The sequence below is a fragment of the Homo sapiens genome, chromosome X, assembly GCF_000001405.40.
Source record: "Homo sapiens chromosome X, GRCh38.p14 Primary Assembly".
In the NCBI taxonomy this organism is placed as follows: Eukaryota; Metazoa; Chordata; class Mammalia; order Primates; family Hominidae; genus Homo; species Homo sapiens.
Window position 1 is genome coordinate 73,710,994 of NC_000023.11, and position 20,265 is coordinate 73,731,258.

Genomic DNA, 20,265 nt, shown 5'->3' on the forward strand with positions numbered 1-20,265 from the left:
GTACTGCCTCACCTTCCTTTTGAGCACCAGCCAGAATACTGTTCTATTCTAGTGGCTTAGGGAATGCTAAAGGAATGCCTTCATGTAAATTTTTGGCTCTTTCTTGGGCATTTCCCCTATTGGGAGGCATATTGTGTTGGATATCAGTTAGATGATTGTTCCTACCTGCTTTTGCCATCCAGTGTTGTGGCTGACCTTCTCCAACAAGCATGTGCTTTAATTGGTAAAGGTCAGAGAAACCAGGTTCATAAGACTGGATAACAATTTGAAACTCTTCAGCAAATTCATGAGGGCTCTCAGTAACTTTGGGGAACTCTTTAACTATAGGCCTAGGTTCAGCTTTTGTCCAAGGTGTTTGGAAATGTTTAAGAGAGGGCCATTATTATTTGGATGGAGCTTAAATAGGTGAATTTGAATAGGTTTAGAAGAATGAGGGAATCAAGGGAAGCTTTGGGATGATAAGAACAGAAGTTCAGCAAGTACAGGATATAGAGACTGAGGAGCAGGAGAAGTAGAAAAATGAGAGTAAGGGGAAGAAACCTGGGCCTTGAGGACTTTTCCTTTCTTTCAATTTTTTTATTCACCTTTGTGAGTTTAGAGACTTTGTTTTGGAGGGAGGCAATTTTAGAGTCCTGAATGAGTTTGGACACTTCTAAATCTAATTAAAATCAGCACCTCATTTAGGTTTTATTGTTTTAAAACCATGGTCTTCTCCATTTAGTTCAGAGAAAACCTAGTTTAAATAAATCAAAGGAACACCAATTTGGCCATTGTAATTTCAAAATGTCTTTTATGTAAAAGGTCCATGGTTCCAGATAAACACATGTGGAGAGTCCATAATTTTTGAACATATAACTATCTTGAATCCCAGAAGGGGGACAATAATTACAAAGATTAGAATTAAAGAATCCCATATTTATAATGCTAATTTTACTCATCAATGGAAGAACTCCTAACCAATATGAAATTTTCTGACAAAAGCAGGAAAACTCCTGCACAAGGTAAGAGCTTTTGCCAGAACAATTGGAACAGCTGTTCCCAAACTCTCAAAGGCATTGTCCTCAACTAAAGGGAAGGAGGATGGGGCCTGAGAGGACTTACCAATGACCATATCAGCAATCCGAAGAGATGGAGAGCATAAGGAGCTCTTTCTTGTGGGTACGTCACCTGATTTCAGAAAACAGAGGTCCACTGGAAGGTAAAATCACTTAAGGTCTGACTTCTGTAATCCAGCTATGTTAACTAAAATATATATTGATACAAAATTCAGAGAAAATACCATTTATTTGAAAAACAAAGAATTGCAACCCAGGTACACAAAGTCAGGGCAACCCTGAATAACACACCCAGAGACAAGCACAGGAAAGCTTTATTTAAATGGGAATGATTTCCACACACACAAAAAAATGTTGTTTTCAGAGGCAGTTTACTGTCTGGGCAGAAATCCTAAATTGCAAACCCATTCTGATTGGTAAATTAGGGTATTCCCAGCTGAGATATGTTGAAAACTGGAGGATACTGACGTCTGTTGTTATCCAAATATATTGGAACATCCTGTGGCTTTATTTTTAACAGGTAGGTGTGCAATCCTCTCACAGTATCCTGACTCTAAAGCCGTAGCCTTAAGTATTTCATTTTCTTTCACACCCACACTAGTGAAGGTTTAATAAACTAAAATAGGATGTACATAACAGGGGCCAAATAGAAAGAGGAGTTAGTGAAAAATTACAAAGGCTTGGTACTTTCAGTTGTTGGGGAGATTTTTAGAGGCCTTTTTTCCTCCGGCTGATTATTTTTGGTGGCTAAGGAAAGAAAATTTCAAATAAATGAACCTTTAAACTGATACTCTTAACATCCATATTTGAAGGGAAAAACATCTGAGCCCCATTTTCCATGATATCTCTAATATTCATCTGACAATCTATAGGTGCTTAATGAGTAATCAATTATAACATGTTATAAAATCTTCAGTTTCATTTGTCTTTCTGTTTGGCTTTTGTCTCTAAGTCTTGACTTTTCTTCATCTCTGTCTAAACCTTCCATTTGCTCAAAGTGCTGAAAACAGTCAACAAATAAATTTGTGTGGGCAAGTGGGAATGATAACTCTACTGACTACCCCACTGAATTCACCTGATTCATGTTAGTGTTGGTTTGGCTTCTGAGACTAATGAGCTTTGTCATAATCCAGGCTCTAAGTAAGAATTAAGTCTCAATGGGTAGAAAGAATGCCTGGTTAAAAGACACCAGAATGCCACATACCACAAGATTAAGGAAAATGGATTGATGACTCATAGCATGCCCACACTGGTGCCAGAAGTTGTAATGAAGGGAAGAATTAGTCAAGACTAACCAAGAAGAATAGGGCAAGTGAAGGGATGTATGCTATTGGATCTGAATAAATCAGAGTGTTTCCCAAAGATTGTTCTTCATTTCCTCCTCAGACTAGTAATGGCTGACAGAGACAATTTATGTTCATGTTGTCTAGTTGTTTAACAGAAAAGATTGGCCATGGGACATGGCTTGATGACTTGGGCAATGATTTAGAATATGTGAAAATGAATAGTTCCTCAAGAAATGTCAGCAACTGGGCCTATAACACACAATCTACTTTAAAATCTCACTCTGTTTTCTAGGTATGCAATAGGTCTTTTCCACTTCTTAATTGGTTGAGCTACAACAGAATGTAAAGTAGAACTAAAGATAAGCATGAAAATAGATCATGGACCAAGGAGTAGGAAAAGAAAGAATACTTGGGTTTTGGAAGCTGCAGTGAGACTTTGCATCTGAGGTAGAGGAAAAGTGGTTTGTGGAAAAAGCACTGAACTTGGATTGTGTGGATTCAAATTCTGTCTCCACGTCTTACTAGCTTTGAGATTACTTAGTCTTTGATAAGTTTATGAAATGGGAAGAATATAATAATCTTTGTCTTGCAGGACTATTGTGAGGATCTAATTAAGTCATGGATGTGGAAGAGCTTTCGAAATTGTAAAGTGAAGGGGAAGGTATTGTTGTTGTCTGGGACATCTCCACGCATACTGGCTACAAGGGCACTGTGGAGAAAAAGGAGAAATCCTCTCCCTCAGGGGAGCTGTATCCAGTGAACTCCTACAGCTGTCAGCCTCTAATCAATCCTCTTGGGAAGTCCAAAGTTTGTGTGAAACCTCAGTGGCATGTAGTACTAAAGATTACTAACTAATTTACCTTTCCTTTTGGTTTTCTTCCTCCAAATGTAGGCTTTTAAAGGAAACTTGCTCTTTTATTCCCTTTAAATCTTTCCAACTGACCTCCAGAAAGCTGACATAATAGTTTTAAGCAGATTATGCCTTGCTGTCCTAATATCAGGCAGTATTATATTGGCATTGTTTACCAGTTTTGAGAATGTAGCCCAAACACTTTCATTCAGGCCTCTCCATGACAAGTAACATATTTGCGAGATTGCTACCTACAGTTGAGGGGTTAGCTTGTGATTCTAGAACAAGGGGAACATGTAAGATTTAAATGCAGTGGTTTGGCATTAGGAGCATGATGTTCTAACCAACTCTTTGAATTTAATTTTAAGCTTCCAGGAACCATATTATAGGATGACATAAAATGTTGGCTATAAATAAAGATCTTTGAGGTCATCTACTCCAAAAGAAACAAGAAAGCACAGTCCCAGAGTGGAGTCAGAGACTTGGTTTTAATGGCAGAGTTGGAACTGAAGCTAAAGTTGCCTTATTTTCGATGTAGTATTTCTTATTCTGTTTCCATTGAATTATTTTCACTTTAAGTACAGGACCACCTCCTTTCTCTATGCCTATTTCTGGACAAATTGTCACTGAATCAGGCAAATTATCCAAGAAGCATGTTGCCAACTGTTTGATAATTTAGAGATGTCAGATAGCTGTCAAAGAGTGGGCCTAAAAATTTAACTTTTCACAGGCTATATTTTTGTTTTCCCCTTTTTATTACATTTTCATCGAAAGCTGTGACTACCGTATTGTATCCATACCTTTTCTTACATTTTATAGTCTTTATCAAGTTTGGCTGTAGCATATGCATTCCAGTTGATATTAGAGTTTACATGAGTTCAGTTGCTTCCTCTGAAAAATAAAAAGGGGTGGAAAATAAATGGTATTTGGAAAAAATGACCTCAAAGATTCTAGCTTTAGCATTCTATGATTTTAGGATTTAAATATTTTTTCATTGTAGGGTTTTTGACAATTCCCAATTTTTCATTAATAAAAATATCAATCATTTTGTACAAATATTTTTTAATTTATTTATAAGTGTTTCCTTAGGCTACATTCCAAAAGTGAGATTGCTGGGTTAAAGAGCAAGCTGACTTTTTAATGACCTCTCAATGCATAATGCCAAACTGCTCTCTATAAAGATTTATACTGCCTAGTTATATCATTATAGCAGTTCATAATTGTTCCTGCTTCTTGACAACCTTTCCAACATTGGTTCCTTTATTATTATTTTATTTTTTATTTGTCCAGACTTAACAGATACAAGTGTAGTGTTTTTACATGGATATATCGTGTAGTGGTGGAGTCTAAACTTCTAGGGTAGGCATCACCTGAATAATGAACATTGTACCCATTAAGTAATTTCTCATCCCCCTCCCCCTCCCACACTCCCACCATTTCAAGTCTCCAGTGTTTATTAATTTACATTCTATGTCCCTGTGATCACACTACTTAGCCCCTTCTTTTATAAGTGAGAACATGTGGTATTTGATTTTGTTTCTGAGTTGTTACACTTAAGATAATGGCCTCCAGTTCCATTCATGTTGCTCCAAAAGACATGATTTTATTATTTTTTATGGCTGAATAGTATTCCACTCTGTGTGTGTGTATATATATATATATATATATATATATCATTTACTTTATCCAATAATCAGTTGACAAGCAGGTTGATTCCATATCTTTGTTATAGTGAAGAGTACTGTGATAAACATATGAGTGCAGGTAGCTTTTTTATATAATGATTACCTCTGGGTAGATACCCAGTAGTAGAATTGCTGGATCGAATAGTAGTTCTAGTTTTAGTTCTTTGAGAAATCTCCATGCTGTTCTCCATAGAGGCTGTAGTAATTTACATTCCCACCAACAGTGTATAAGTGTTCTCTTTTTGCTGCATCCTCACCAACATGTTATTTTTTAACTTTTTGGTAATAGGCATCCTAACTGATGTAAAATTGCTGGGTCTGACCCACAGACCCTGGCCGAACGATGGATGAACAAATGCACTCCAACACAGATATCCAGTGAAAGAGTGGGCTAGGGGACCAGGCCGCTCACAGAAAGAGTTGTAGCAGCCGTGGCCCTGACAAGCTGGCACTGTGGGCATTTATTTAGTACAGATTTAATGACAAAGGCCTTGAGTTAACACACTTGTGGGTAATTAACATGGTTGCCCCCCCCCACCACCTCCCAAGACAGCAGTCCTGTGTGCAAATGATTAAAGGCCAGGTTCTGAGGCCTAAGTAAACTAACTTTTCTAGATCAGTTTCTTTACATCCCCTTGTTATCCAACCTAATCTTTCAGGCACTGGATAAGAGAATTTGGCTGCCCTTAGCTATATCCTTTTCCAAAGCTCTTGTAAAACCACCCAGCCTTTGAAGAAGGTTTGCATCTTTCTACAACTTTTCCCACCACCCTGACCAATCTCCTACATAAAATGATATCTCATTGTGGTTTAAATTTGCATTTCTCTGATTAGCAATGTTGAACATTTTTTTCATATGCTTATTGGCCATTTGCATGTCTTTTGAGAAATGTCTGTTCATGTTCTTTGCCCACTTTTTAATGGGCTTATTGGGTTTGTGGTTGTTGTTGAGTTCTTTGTAAATCCTGAATATTAGTCCCAATTAATATTTTGAACTAATGGTTCAAAAATATTTTTTCCCATTCTGTAGGTTGTATGTTCACTCTGATTATTTCTTTTGCTGTGCAGAAGTTTTTTAGTTTACTTAAATCCCATTTGTCTATTTTTGGTTTTGTTGCTTGTGCTTTTGAGATCTTAATCATGAATTATTTGCCTAGACCAATGTCCAAGAGAACTTTCCCTAGGTTTTCTTCAAGTATTTTTATTGTTTGAGGTTGTATTAGTCCATTTTCATGCTGCTAATAAAGACATACCTGAGACTGGGAAGAAAAGGAGGTTTATTTTGACTTACAGTTCCACATGGCTGGGGAGGTCTCACAATCATGGAGGAGGGCTAAAGGCACTTCTTACATGGCAGCAGCAAAAGAAAATGAGGAAGAAGCAAAAGCAGAAACCCCTGATAAACCCATCAGATCTCATTAGATTTATTCACGACCACAAGAATATCACAAGTAACACCAGCCCCCATGATTCAATTACCTCCCACTGGGTCCCTATTCTGCATATGGAAATCTAATTTTCCCAGAACTGTGTATTGAAAAGGGTATCCTTTCCCCAGTGTATGTTTTGTCAACTGTGTCAAAGATCAGTTGGCATACATATGTGGCTTTATTTGTGAGTTCTCAACTGTTCCATTGGTCTATGTGTCTATTTTTACACCAGTACCATGCTGTGTTTGTTACTATAGCCTTGTAGTATATTTTGAAGTTAGGTAAGTGTAGTATATTTTGAAGTTTTTTGATGGAGTCTTGAGGGTTTTCTAGATATAAGCTTACATCATCAGCAAGGAGAGATAATTTGACTTCTTCTTTTCCACTTTGGATGTCTTTTATTTCTTTTCTTGCCTGATTTCTCTGGCTAGCTAGGATTTCTAGTACAATCTTAAATAGGAGAGGTAAAAGTGAGCATCCTTATCTTGTTCCTGTCTTAGGGGGAATGCTTTCAACTTTTCCCCTTCAGTATCATGTTGACTGTACATTTGTTGTATATGGCCATTATTATTTTGAGGTATGTTTTTTCTATGCCTACTTTGCTAAGGGTTTTTATCATGAAGGGAGGCTGAATTTTATTAAATGTCTTTTCTAATCTATTCTAATGGCCCTATGTTTTTACCCTTAATTGTTTGTGTGATGAATCACATTTATTGATTTGTATATTTGAACCATCCTTGAATCCCTGGAATAAAACCCACTTGAGTATTCTCTTTTTGATGTGTTGCTGGATTCAGTTTGCTAGTATTTTTTTCTTGAGGATTTTTGCATCTATTTTCATCAGGGATATTGGCCCATGATTTTCTTTTTTTGTTGTGTCTTTGCCTGGTTTTAGAATCAGAGTGATGCTGGCTTCATAGAATGAGAGGAAGAATTCTCTCCTCCATTTTTTAAAACTGTTTCAGGAAAATCGGTACCAGTTCTTCTTTTCACATTTGGTAGAATTCATCTGTGAATCCACGTGTCCTGGGCTTTTTTTCTGTTCTTGTTGGGAGACTTTTTTTAATTATTGATTCAGTCTCATTATTTGTTATTGGGCTGTTCAGAGTTTCTATTTTTTCCCGGCACAATCTTGAGAGGTTGTGTGTTTCCAGGACTTTATCCATTTCCTCTAGGTTTCCTAGTTTGTAAGAATATGGTTGTTCATAGTACTCTCTGATGATATTTTGTATTACTGAGGCATCAGTTGTAGTGTCTTATTTTTCATTTCTGATTATGATTTTAGATTTTCTTTTCTTGGTTAGTCTAGCTAGCTGTTTATCAATTCCATTTGTCTTTTCAAAGAACCAGCTTTTCATTTCATTGATCATTTGTATTGTTTTATTGGCCTCAGTTTTATTTAGTTCTGCTCTGATCATTATTTTCTTCTGCTAGCTTTAGCTTCGGTTTTTTCATGTTTTTCTATTTTCTTGAGGTACTATGTTAGGCTTTTAATTTGTGATCTTTGTATTTTTTTATGTAGGCATTTAATGCTATGAACTTTCCTCTTAGCACTGCTCTTGCTGTCTCTTAGAGGTTTTGGTATGTTGTTTATGTTGTGTTTCCATTTCCGTTTGTTTAATTTTTTTAATGTATGCCCTAATTTTGTCATGGACCCAGAGATCAGTTAGGAGCATGTTGTCTAATTTCTATGTGTTTCTATTGTTTCAAGAGTTCCTCTTGTTATTGATTTCTAGGTCAATTCTGCTTTGATTTGAGAAGATACTTGATGTGATTTCCATTTTAAAAAAATATTGAAACTTGTTTTGAGGCCCAACATATGGTCTATCTTGGAGAATGCTCTATATGCTGATGAGTAGAATGTATATTCTGCAGTTGTTGGGTACAATGTTTTGTAAATGTCTGTTAGGCCCATTTGGTCTAAAGTCCAATTTAAGTCCAATGCTTCCTTTTTTTATTTCTGACTTTTATTTTAGGTTCAAGGGTATACATGCAGAATGTGCAGTTTTGTTAATAGGTAAATGTGTGACATAGTGGTTTGCTACACAAATCATCCCATCACCCAGGTATTAAGCCCAGAATCCACAAGCTATTCTTCCTGATCCTCTCCTTCTTGCCATCCCCCATCTCCAAAATGCCCCAGTGTGTGTTGCTCCCCTCCATATGTCCATGCATTCTCATCATTAACTCCCACTTATAAATGAGAACAGGCAGTATTTGGTTTTCAGTTCCTGCATTAGTTTGCTAAGGATAATGGCCTCCAGCTCCATTCATATCCCTGCAAAGGACATGATCTTGTTCCTGGCTGCATATAATGCCATGGTGTATATGCACCACATTTTCTTTATCTAGTCTATAATTGATAGGCATTTACATTGATCCATGTCCTTGCTGTTGTGAATACTGCTGCAATTAAGATACACATGCATGTGTCTTTATAATAGAATGATTTCTATTCCTTTGGGTACATACCCAGTAATGGGATTGCTGGGTCAAATGGTAGTTCTGTCTCTAGATCACTGAGGAATTGCCACGCTGTCTTCCACAATGGTTGAACTAATTTACATTCCCACCAACAGTGTAAAAGCACTTCTTTTTCTCCACAATCTCTCCAGCATCTGTTATTTTTTGACTTTTTAATAATAGGCATTATGACTGGTGTGAGATGGCATCTCATTGTAGTTTTGATTTGCATTTCTCTAATGATCAGTGATGTTGAGCTTTTTTCATGTTTGTTGGCTGCATGTATATCTTCTTTTGAGAGGTGTCTGTTCGTATGCTTTGCCCACTTTTTAATGGGGTTTTTTTCTTGTAAATTTGTTTAAGTTCCTTGTAGATGCTGGATATTAGAAATTTGTCAGATAAATAGATGGAAAAACTTCCCCCATTCTGTAGATTGTTCACTCTTGATAGTTTCTTTTGCTGTGCAGAAGCTCTTTAATTTAATTAGATCCCATTTGTCAATATTTGCGTTCATTGCAATTGTTTTTAGTGGCTTTGTCATAAAATCTTTGCCCATGCCTACATCCAGAATGGTATTGCCTAGGTTTTCATCTAAAGACTTTGTGATTTGTGTTGTTGTTGTTGTTTTTTGTTTGTTTGTTTGTTTGTTTGTTTGTTTTTGACAGAGTTTCACTCTTGTTGCCCTTGCTGGAGTGCAATGGCACGATCTCAGCTCACTGCAACCTCTGCCTCCTGGGTTCAAGAGATCTCCTACTTTAGCCCCCCCAAGTAGCTGGGATTACAGGCATGCGCCACCATGTCCAGCTAATTTTTGTGTTTCCAGTAGAGACAGGGTTTCACCATGTTGGCCAGGCTGGTCTCAAACTCCTGACCTCAGGTGATCCACCCACCTCGGCCTCCCAAAGTGCTGGGATTACAGGCCGATGAGCTATCATGCCTGGCTGATTTTTGGTTTTAGATTTAAGTCTTTAATCCATCTTAAGTTGATTTTTGTATATAGTGTAAGGGAAGGGTCAAGTTTCAATTTTCTGCATATGGCTAACCAGTTCTCCCAGCACCATTTATTGAATACGGAATCATATTCCCATTGCTTGTTTTTGTCAGGTTTGTCGAAGTTCAGATGGTTGTAGGTGTGCAATCTTATTTCTGGTTTCTCTATTCTGTCCATGGGTTTATGTGTCTGTTTTTGTACCAGTACCATGCTATTTTAGTTACTGTAGGCCTTTAGCAAAGTTTGAAGTTGGGAAGTATGATGCCTCCAACTTTGTTCTCTTTGCTTAGAATTGCCTTGGCTATTCAGGCTCTTTTTTGATTCCACATGAATTTTAAAATAGTTTTTTTTTTAATTCTGTGATAAATGTTAATGGTAGTTTAATGGGAATAGCATTGAATATGTAAATTGCCTTGGGAACTATGACCATTTTCACAATATTTATTTCTCCTATCCATCCATGAGCATGGAATGTTTTTCTACTTGTTTGTGTCATTTCTGATTTCTTTGAGCAGTGGTTTGTAGCCGTCTTTGAAGAGGTCCGTCACTTCCCTTGTAAGCTGTATTTCTAGGTATTTTATTCTTATTGTGGCAATTGTGAAAGAGTTTACTCGTGATTTGGCTTTTGGCTTGCCTATTGTTGATATACAGGAGTGCTAGTCATTTTTACATAGTTAGGTTGATTTGGGATGGACAGTTCTGTAGATGTTTGTTAGGTCTGCTTGATCTAGTGCTGAGTTAAAGTCCTAAATGTCTTTGTTAATTTTCTATCTCGATGATTGGGCTAATATTGTCAGTGAGGTATTAAAGTCTTCCACTATTATTGTGTGGTTGTTCAAATCCCTTTGATGGTCTCTAAGAACTGGCTTTATGAATCTGAGTGCTCCTGTGTTGGGTACATATCTACTTAGGATAGTTAGCTCTTTTTGTTGAATTGAACTCCTTACCATTATGTAATGCCCTTCTTTGTCTTTATTTATCTTTGTTGGTTTAAAGTCTGTTTTGTCAGAAACTAGGCTTGCAACACTTGCTTTTCTGTGTTTTCTATTTGCTTGGTATCTCAATCAGTCCTAGATTCGGTCTCTGTACATAATCCCATATTTCTCAGAGGTTTTGTTCATTTCTTTTTATTGTTTTATCTCTATTCCCTCACAGCGCAACTGGTTTTTCTTCTTCCTGGGGGCTGTGGTGGGATCTGCCTTTCTGTGAGGATTCATGGGGTGGCTGGGCCAGCATCTGTCCAAAGGGAGGCACTTCTCCATTTTTTGTGTGTTTTTGCATGAGATGGGTCTCTTGAAGACAGCATACCTGTGGGTCTTGGTTCTTTATCCCACTTGCCACTCTGTCTTTTAATTGGGGCAATTAGTCCATTTACATTGAAGGTTATTGTTGTTATGTGTAGATTTAATCCTGTCATCATGATGTTAGCTGGTTGTTTTGCAGACCTGTTTATGTGGTTGCTTCATAGTGTCACTGGTCTATGTACTTCAGTATGTTTTTGTAATGGCTGGTAACAGTTTTTCCTTTCCATATTTACAGCTTCCTTCCTGCAGGGCAGATCTGGTGGTGATGAATTCCCTCAGCATCTGCTTGTCCTAAAAGGATTTTATTTCTCCTTCACTTAGGAAGGTTAGTTTGGCTGGACATGAACTTCAGGGTTGGAAATTCTTTTAAGAATGTTAAATATTGGTCCCAAATTTCTTCTGGCTTGTAGGGTTTTCCCTGAGAAGTCTGCCCTTAGTTTGATGGAATTTCATTTGTATGTGACCTAGCCTTTCTCTCTGGCTGCCCTTAACATTTTTTCTTTCATTTTGACCTTGGAGAACCTGATGATTCTCTGTGTCTTAGGGAGATCTTCTCATGGAGTATCTTACTGTGGCTCTCTTCATTTCCTGAATTTGAATGTTGGCCTGTCTAGCTAGATTGGGGAACTTCTCCTGAATTATATCCTGAAGTGTATTTTCCAACTTGGTTCCATTTTCCCTGTCTCTTTCAGGTACCCCAATCAGTCGTAGATTCCATCTCTTTACATAATACCATATTTCTTGGAGGTTTTGTTTATTCCTTTTTATTCTTTTATCTCTATAGTTGTCTGCCTGCTTACTTCAGAAAGACAGTCTTCAAGCTCTGAGATTCTCTACTCTGCTTGGTCTATTCTCCTATTAATACTTGTGATTGCATTGTGAGGTTCTTGTGTTTTGTTTTTCAGCTCTGTCAGGTTGGTTCTCTTTTTCTCTTTATACTATTTTGGCTGTCAACTTCTACATTGTTTTATTATGATTCTTAGCTTTTTTGCATTGGTTTACAATATGCTCCTTTAGCTCAGCAAAGCTCATTTTTATTCACCTTCTGAAGCCTACTTCTATCATTTCAGCCATCCCAGCCTCAGGTCAGTTCTGATCTCTTGCTGTAGAGGTGCTGTGGTCATTTGGAGGTAAGGGGGCTCTGTGGCTTTTTGAGTTTTGAGTGTCTTTGCACTGATGCTTTCTCATCTTTGTGAACTTATCTACCTTTGAGTTTGAAGTTGCTGATTTTTGGTTGGGTTTTTTGTCTTTTGTTGTTTTTGTTGTTGGTGGTTTGTTTGTTTTTCTTGTAACAGTCTCACCACTCTTCCCTAGGGCTGCTGTGGTTTGCTGGGGGTCCACTCCAGAGCCTAGTTGCCTCAGTTTTTCCAGTATCTGCAGGCATCACCAGTGAAGACTGCAAAACAGCAAAGATAACAGCCTGCTCCTACCTCTGGGAACCTCATCCCAGGGGGCTACTGACCTGTTGCCTGCCTGAACACACCTGTAGAATGTGGCTGGAGTCACTGGTTGGGAGTTCTTACCCAGTCAACAGGAAGGGGATCAGAGACCCACTTAAAGAAGCAGGCTGGCTGCATTTTGGCCATAAAAAAGAATGAGTACAGGGACATGGATGAAGCTGGAAGCCATTATTCTCAGCAAACTAACACAGGAACAGAAAACCAAACACTGTATGTTCTCACTCATAAGTAGGAGTTGAACAATGAGAACACATGGGCACAGGGAGGGGAGCATCACACACCGGGGCCTGTCAGGGGGTGGGGGGCAATGGGAGGGAGAGCATTAGGACAAATACCTAATGCATGTGGGGCTTAAAACCTAGATGACAGGTTCATAGGTACAGCAAACCACCATGGCACATGTATACCTATGTGACAAACCTGTACAATCTGCACATGTATCCCAGAACTTAAAAAAAAAAAAAAAAAAAAGAAGCAATCTGGCTGCATTTTGGTAGAGTGGCTGTGTTGTGTTGGGGGATCCCTTCGGCCACCAATTGGTTTGGGTTTCCAAGGCCCACAGGATGGAACAACTGTGATGCTCAAAGAGCAAAGGTGGTGCTCTCCATCCCAGGAAGAAATTAGAACTCTGTTGGCTATAGGACACAAGTGGGGGTGGCCAGAGGTTCTGGCTGGGAGGACCAACCAGCAAGGAGGAATGTATTGGGGTCCATTTAAAGAAGCAATCTGGCCACACCTCAACAAAACAGCAGTGCTGTGCTGGTGAACCACCTCTGCCCCAGGCAGCTTGGATTCTCCTAAGCCCACAGGCTAGAATGGCTGAGTTGTGCAAACTGCAAAGTTGGTGGCCCACCCCACCCTCTGGGTACTCTGTCCCAGGGAGAAATCAGAATTCTATCCATAGAACATGGGTGAGGGTGCCTGGAGGCCCTGGCTGGAAAAGGAATGGATTGGGGTCCTGCTTAAAGAAGCAGTCTGACCATGTATTGGTAAAGCAGCTGAGAGTCCAAACTGTTTGGACACTCCATGACCCACAGGCTGGAACGCCTGAGTCATACAAACAGCAAAGTTGGTTACCTACCCCTCCCTGCAATGACTTCATCCCATCTCAGGCAGGTGCTACCCTGTTGCCAGTGGCTGGCTGGAATTCTGGGCCAGTTGGTCTTATCTTGTGAGGTGCCATGGAAGTGGGGCCCGCAGACCAACACTGCTTGACCCCCTGGATTCATCCATCTTCCTAGGGGTATGTATGGACCTGCCTGCCTTGCCTGAGTTGTAGTCACCTTTGCCAGGGATCTTGGGGCCAGAGTAAATCTCCTGTGTCTCTGTACATGCCTGAGCTGCTTTTACAAATCCTTTTGAACATAGCTTATCTTTACAACTGCTTCTCTGGGAATGGTCGTCTCATAGAATCACATATAGTCCAGTAGTTTTCAAACCCAACTTTTGATATTTACTTGAGAAATATAATAAACATGAATGCATGAGCCCCACTCCAAAACAATCAGAATCTCTGGGAGACCTGCAGGCCCAACACCACATGGAAGCCACCAAGGCTTTGGGGTTGTGTCCTCTGAAGCAACATCCTGAGCTGCATGTTGGCCCCTTTTAACCATGACTGGATCTGGAATAGTTGGGACACAGGGCACCAAGTTCCAAGGCTGCACAGAGCAACAGGGTCCTTGGCCTGGCCCATGAAACCATTTTTCCCTCTTAGGCCTTCAGGCCTGTAATGGGACAGGCTGCCATGAAGGTCTCTGACATGGCCTGGAGACAGTTTCCCCATTGTCTTGGCTATAAACATTCAGCTCTTCGTTACTTATGCAAATTTCTGTAGCCAGCTCGAATTCTTCCCTAGAAAATGGGTTTTTCTTTTCTACCACATGGTCAAGCTGCAAAATTTTCAATCCTTTATGTTCTGCTGCTTTTTTAAACATAAGTCCCAATTTCAAACCATCTCTTCGTGAATGCATATAATTGAACACTTTCAGAATAAGCCAGGTCACCTCTTGAATGCTTTGCTACTTAGAAATTTCTTTTGCCAGATATCCTAAATCATCTCTCTCCAATTCAAACTTTCACAGATATCTATGGCAGAGGCAAAATGCTGCCAGTCTCTTCGCTAAAGTATAGCATAAGTGACCTTTATTCCAGTTCTTAATAAGTTCCTCATCTCCATCTGAGACCACCTCAGCATGGACTTCATTTTTAATATCACCATCAGCATTTTGGTCAAAACCATTCAACAAGTCTCTAGAAAGTTCCAAACTTTCCCACTTCTTCCTGTCTTCTTTTGAGACCTCCAAACTTTTCCAACCTCTGCCTGTTACCCAGTTCCAAAGTTGCTTCCACATTTTCAGGTTATCTTTATAGCAGTACCCCACTCTGCAGGTACCAATTCTCTGTATTAGTCCATTCTTACACTGCTATAAAGATACTGAGACTGGATAATTTATAAACAAAGGAGGTTTAATTGACTCACAGTTTTGCATGGCTGGGGAGGCCTCAGTAAAGTTACAATCATGGCAGAAGGTGAAGGGGGAGTGAGGAACATCTTCACAAGGCAGCAGCAGAGAGAGAGAGCAAAGAAGGAACTGCCAAACACTTGTGTAGCCATCAGCTCTCATGAGAACTCCCTCATGAAACATCATGAAAACAGCATGGGGTAACCTGTCCCCATAATCCAATCACCTCCCACCAAGTCCCTCCCTAAATATGTGGGGATTACAATTTGAGATAATATTTGGGTAGGGACACAGAGACAAACCATATCAACCATAATGAAGAAAGCAAGGTATATAAGATCAAGTGACTTGCCTATAAGTCCATGAGGTGTTCCAAACCTGCTGTGCAGTCTGCATCATTTTTCATTCTTTACATGCCTCTAGACTTAGAGAGGCTGATAAGCTTGGAAAATGATGTGCTTCTATCAACAGTAAAGATATTTTTCCATTTTCTACAACATTGTAAGTTCTGGCCATTAATGTATAAGCTTTTTTTTTTTTTCTGAGATGGAGTTTTGCTGCTGTTGCCCAGGTTGGAGTGCAATGATGCGATCTCAGCTCACTGCAACCTCCACCTCCTGGATTCAAGCAATTCTCCTGCCTCAGCCTCCTAAATAGCTGAGATTACCTGCGCTCGTCACCATGCCCAGCTAATTTTTGTATTTTTAGTAGAGATGTGGTTTTGCCATGTTGGCCAGGCTGGTCTCGAACTCCTGACCTCAGGTGATCCACTCACCTTGGCCTCCCAAAGTGCTGGGATTACTGGAGTCAGCCGCCGCACCTGGCCAAATGTATAATCTTAAAATACCACTAACATAGTATGATTTGAGAACCATCGCAGAATCTCACCATCCCTAAACATCCTTCTTGCTGATCTTTCACAGTGCCTGAAGTTTATTCTGCTAATCATTCTTCTAAGCTATGACACTGTTACCAGAATACAGGAATAGAGAGAGAGTGGGCTGTTAACATACCTGCTGTCACCTTGGAAAGCAGCCACAGAGCCCTGAAGATCTGGCCTGGGGTAGACATATTAATGAAAGATGCAGAAAAAAGGAAAAGCCCAGAATATAGGGCAAGCTCCCAGTAAAAGTCCTGGGTAGAATGGTGCCAAAGACTAGTTTTCTTATTTCAAAATGGTGCCCAAATGCTTGACATATCTACATTTTATAAAATCCCTTAAGTAATACGGTCAAAAGAGCACTAGAGTTGTGAAACAGGAGACTTGAGTTATTTTAGTAGTTCAGACTATGTGGCCTGGGACAGATCCATTTCCCTCTTTTTCTTACACATCAAATGTGAAGATTAAATTAGAGTAGCAAATATCCTGACTGCTTCTAAACGTTTGATTCTCATAGTGAATCAGTTCAATTGCCCTTGTGTCTAGTGTAGTTATGGCATAAGCTAATATGTTAATGCCTCCCCCTTACCACTGTGGCTGGCAGTATTTATAAAACATACAAGCCCTAAGCCTATTGAGAACCCAAGCAGTTGGTGCTGCCATACGTTTAAGAAGGACACAAAGAAACCTAGGGTCAAAGAAAGTCTGTTGAAGTAATTTAAAGGGAAGGAACTGTGAAAGGAGATGGTATTTTTCTTTTAAAACAGAAATATTGCTTCATTGAGTGGAGGTTGTGAGATGACAGGTAAGAAGATCCCAGACTTATAAGAAACTTCCTAAAGAATTTTAAAATGAAAATGGTTGTAGAAACACTCATCCACCTGAAATGAGTTAGATGCCTGTTTCTTGTCTCCAAGCAAAGGTTGGACTGGATAAAAAGAACCCCAGCAAGTAACCTAGAAAGTACCCTAATGTGGGCTAGGTGTGGTGGCTCATGCCTGTAATCCCAGCACTTTGGGAGGCCAAGGAGGGTGGATCACAAGGTCAAGAGATCGAGACCAGCCTGACCAACAACGTGAAACCCCATCTCTACTAAAAATACAAAAATTAGCTGGGCCTGGTGGTGCACGCCTGCAGTCCCAGCAACTCAGGAGGCTGAGGCAGGAGAATCGCTTGAACCTGGGAGGCGGAGGTTGCAGTGAGCCGAGATGGCACCACTGGGCCCCAGCTTGGCGACAGAGTGGGACTCTGTCTCAAAAAGAAAAGAAAAAAGGGAAAAAAAAAGAAAGTACCCTAATGTGGTACCTTTTTCCCTACTTTGTCTTTTTTGTTATTTTTTAAACTAAATGTTTAGCAAAATAGGAAAAAGCATAAATAAGAAAGCAATATTCATCCCAATCCTAATATGCAGCCTTCTCCTGCATGTCCCTGCCTTCCAAAATGTTTGCACATGGTACAACACCAGTATATAGACCCAGAGGTTAGTATGAAGGCAAAAGGCATTTTTTCCTGAACAAAAGCCAAAAAGGGAGCTGCTATTTTGTCAAGAAAGGGAGTGACAGCCCTTAGTACAGTGGTTCATGTTCAGGGTACTGAATAAGAACAAAATAGGGCTGATGGTGTTATTTCAGGCATTGGAGGGAAGACCACTGGGTAATGTTGACACTTCTACAATAATTGAGAGGATAATGGGGGCCAGAAGTCCCCTTTGTCAAGAAATGGCAGGGAGTCTGGGGTAAGAACTAGCAGAGTTAATATACATCCGTGCCATTAGCATGGGCTTTAAAGATGTTAGAACAGGCAGCAGAGCTATAGGCATTGCACCCAGGTCCCAGCCACCAGGCTTGGTGGATGGTAGGGAACTGTGGCAGCATTCCAACAGGGAGAGGCCAATGAGCATAAATACTGTTCTCTCGCTTTCTTTTAACTGTCACTAAGAGCACATTCAATTCAATGAGTCTACAATTCAGGTTGTCAGAAGAACAAAGGGACTCAATCTTTAGCCCTCTGGGAGAACTATTGAGAAACCAAGTAACTATTTAAATCTCTGTGCAGCTGGGCAGGAAGGAGAGTCCAGCTCTGTTGGAAAGATTTGGCAGCTTTGTAAGGGAGGGAGGTCCAGTACCTGACCCAGAGGCTGTGTGCCACCACCCGCCCCCATCCCCCCTGCAACCCAATGAAAAAAAGAGTATAGGGTCAACCACCTGCCCTACCACATATCAGCTGGTCCACCGACATTTATTTTAGCACTTCCACCCTAGTGGAGAACCTAGGTGCCAGTGTTTTCTAGGCCCTCCAAAGACAGTAAGCCCTTACGGCTCTATAAATGTATACATCCTCTCATCCTAGATAACCCCTCCCCAACTGAAACTCACAATCTCCACCTCACCTCTCCATCTCTCTCTCACACACACATACACGTTTTTATTTTTAGAAGACTCGGAGAAGGCCTGTGACAAAAGCTTATGCTCTAGCCAAAGTCTGTGCTAGTTCTCTGCCAGCCAGTGGCCAGGCCACTGAACTGCCATTATCTCCCTCCTCCCACTCTACGTGACCTCACCTCTGCTACCATTCATCTCTACCCAACCCTAGACTCTAGCATCCCTCACTCATTGCTTGTCTGCTTCTCTCCTTCTTGGCTAGTTATTGTGGCTGCTACAACAGTTACAATTAATGATTAGTTCCTACAGCATGCCTACCCATATCCTGTCCGCAGATCCAGAGGCCTAAACCCAGAGCTGTCTAGAGAGCAGGAACCAGAGTCAACTGAAGCAGAGTGCAATGCAAGGGGCGACTTGAAGCTGGAAGATGAACACTGAGTGGCTTTACAGAGGTAAGTACATACATTCTTATTGGTAATGTGAGGGAGAATTAGACCTTCCCTGGTCATGGGTTCAGTGATACTCAGATTCATTCATTCTCTCTAGATAGAGATAGATAGATAGATAGATAGATAGATAGATAGATAGATAGATGATAGATAGATGATAGATTATATAGAGAGAGATAGATTATATATAGAGAGATAGATAGATTATATATAGATACATAGATTATATATATATATATTTTCCCATGAGCAAAGGGGAAACCACCTCTTATCTCCTCAGAACTTTTGCTTGTCATACTACCTCTCCCTTGACTTGTAAGTTATTTGCCTATCTGCTAAACTAGGCTCCCTAGTTTCTCAGAAACTGTTGAATTGAATCAGGAGTTCCCTTTAACTGAAGAGACCCAGAATGATGAACAATACAGCCTTCTAAACCTTGAGATGAATAGGAATTTCATACTAATCCCTGTGACTGCAGGTGGATTCTTCCTTCTAGAGGTAAGAGCTGAAGTGGCTGAGGTGTGGATTCCATTCCTGAGGGTTGAAACCACTCTGGTATTTCATTTAGATAAGTTTACATTGAAAGGTTGGGGACATGTTAGAGGAAATTAGGTTTTTCCAGTGTGAAATGAACTCAGGATACCCTTTCTACTTCTCCCCTCCTAGGTAGAGTATCCGATATTGTTTACTGAACAAATTTAAGGAACTATCTGACAAACAAGCCCTATAAATGGAAGCATTTAAAACATACATTGGATTATTTTTACTACCATGGGAAAGTGGTGTTTAACCTTCCCATATCACAGTCTCACCTTCCATAAAATCAGGATTAATGCACAATCCTGATTCTTTCCTTTCTGAAACATGCAATAATAAATGTCTGCAAAGCACTTTGACCTCTAAGATATTAAATACACAAATTTTGTTTGCATTTGGATCTCTATTTTTTGTCCTAGGTGTATTTTTTAAACAGGGTCTTGCTAAATTTTTTCAATTTTTTTGTAGAGATAGGTCTTGCTATGTTGCCTAAGCTGGTCTCAAACTCCTAGCCTCAAACAGTCCTCCCAGCTCAGCGTCCCAAAATTCTGGGATTACAAGCATGAACCACACCTGGCTGGCGTTTTAAATTGATACATAATATTTTACATATTTATGGGGTACATGTGAGTATTTGTTACATGCATAGAATGTTTAATGCTCAAGTTGGGATATTTGGGGTATCCATCTCTTTGAATATTTATAATTTCTATCTATATGTTTGGAGTATTTCAAGCCCTCTCATCTAGTTACTTAGAAATATACAATACATTGTTGATAACTACATTCACCCTACTCTGCTATCATACTTTAGAACTTATTCCTTCTATCTAACTGTATGTTTGTACCTATTAACCAACCTCACTTCATCCCTCCCTCCCATGTACACCTACTTGCCAGCCTCTGGTATTTATCATTCTATTTTCTATCTGCATGAGATCAACAGTTTTAGCTCCCACAAATAAGTAAGAACATGCAATATTTGTCTTTTTGTGTCTGGTTTATTTCACTTAACATAATGTCTTCCAC

General features: G+C 39.7%; 1 annotated feature.

Annotated features, from left to right (window-relative positions):
- Positions 17,540-18,088: an enhancer, noted in NCBI's record as "OCT4-NANOG hESC enhancer chrX:72948368-72948916 (GRCh37/hg19 assembly coordinates)". NCBI's record gives its function as "activates a minimal SCP1, AML or CMV promoter by ChIP-STARR-seq in primed H9 embryonic stem cells {active_cell/tissue: H9 hESC(primed)}" and the evidence as "EXISTENCE:reporter gene assay evidence [ECO:0000049][PMID:30033119]".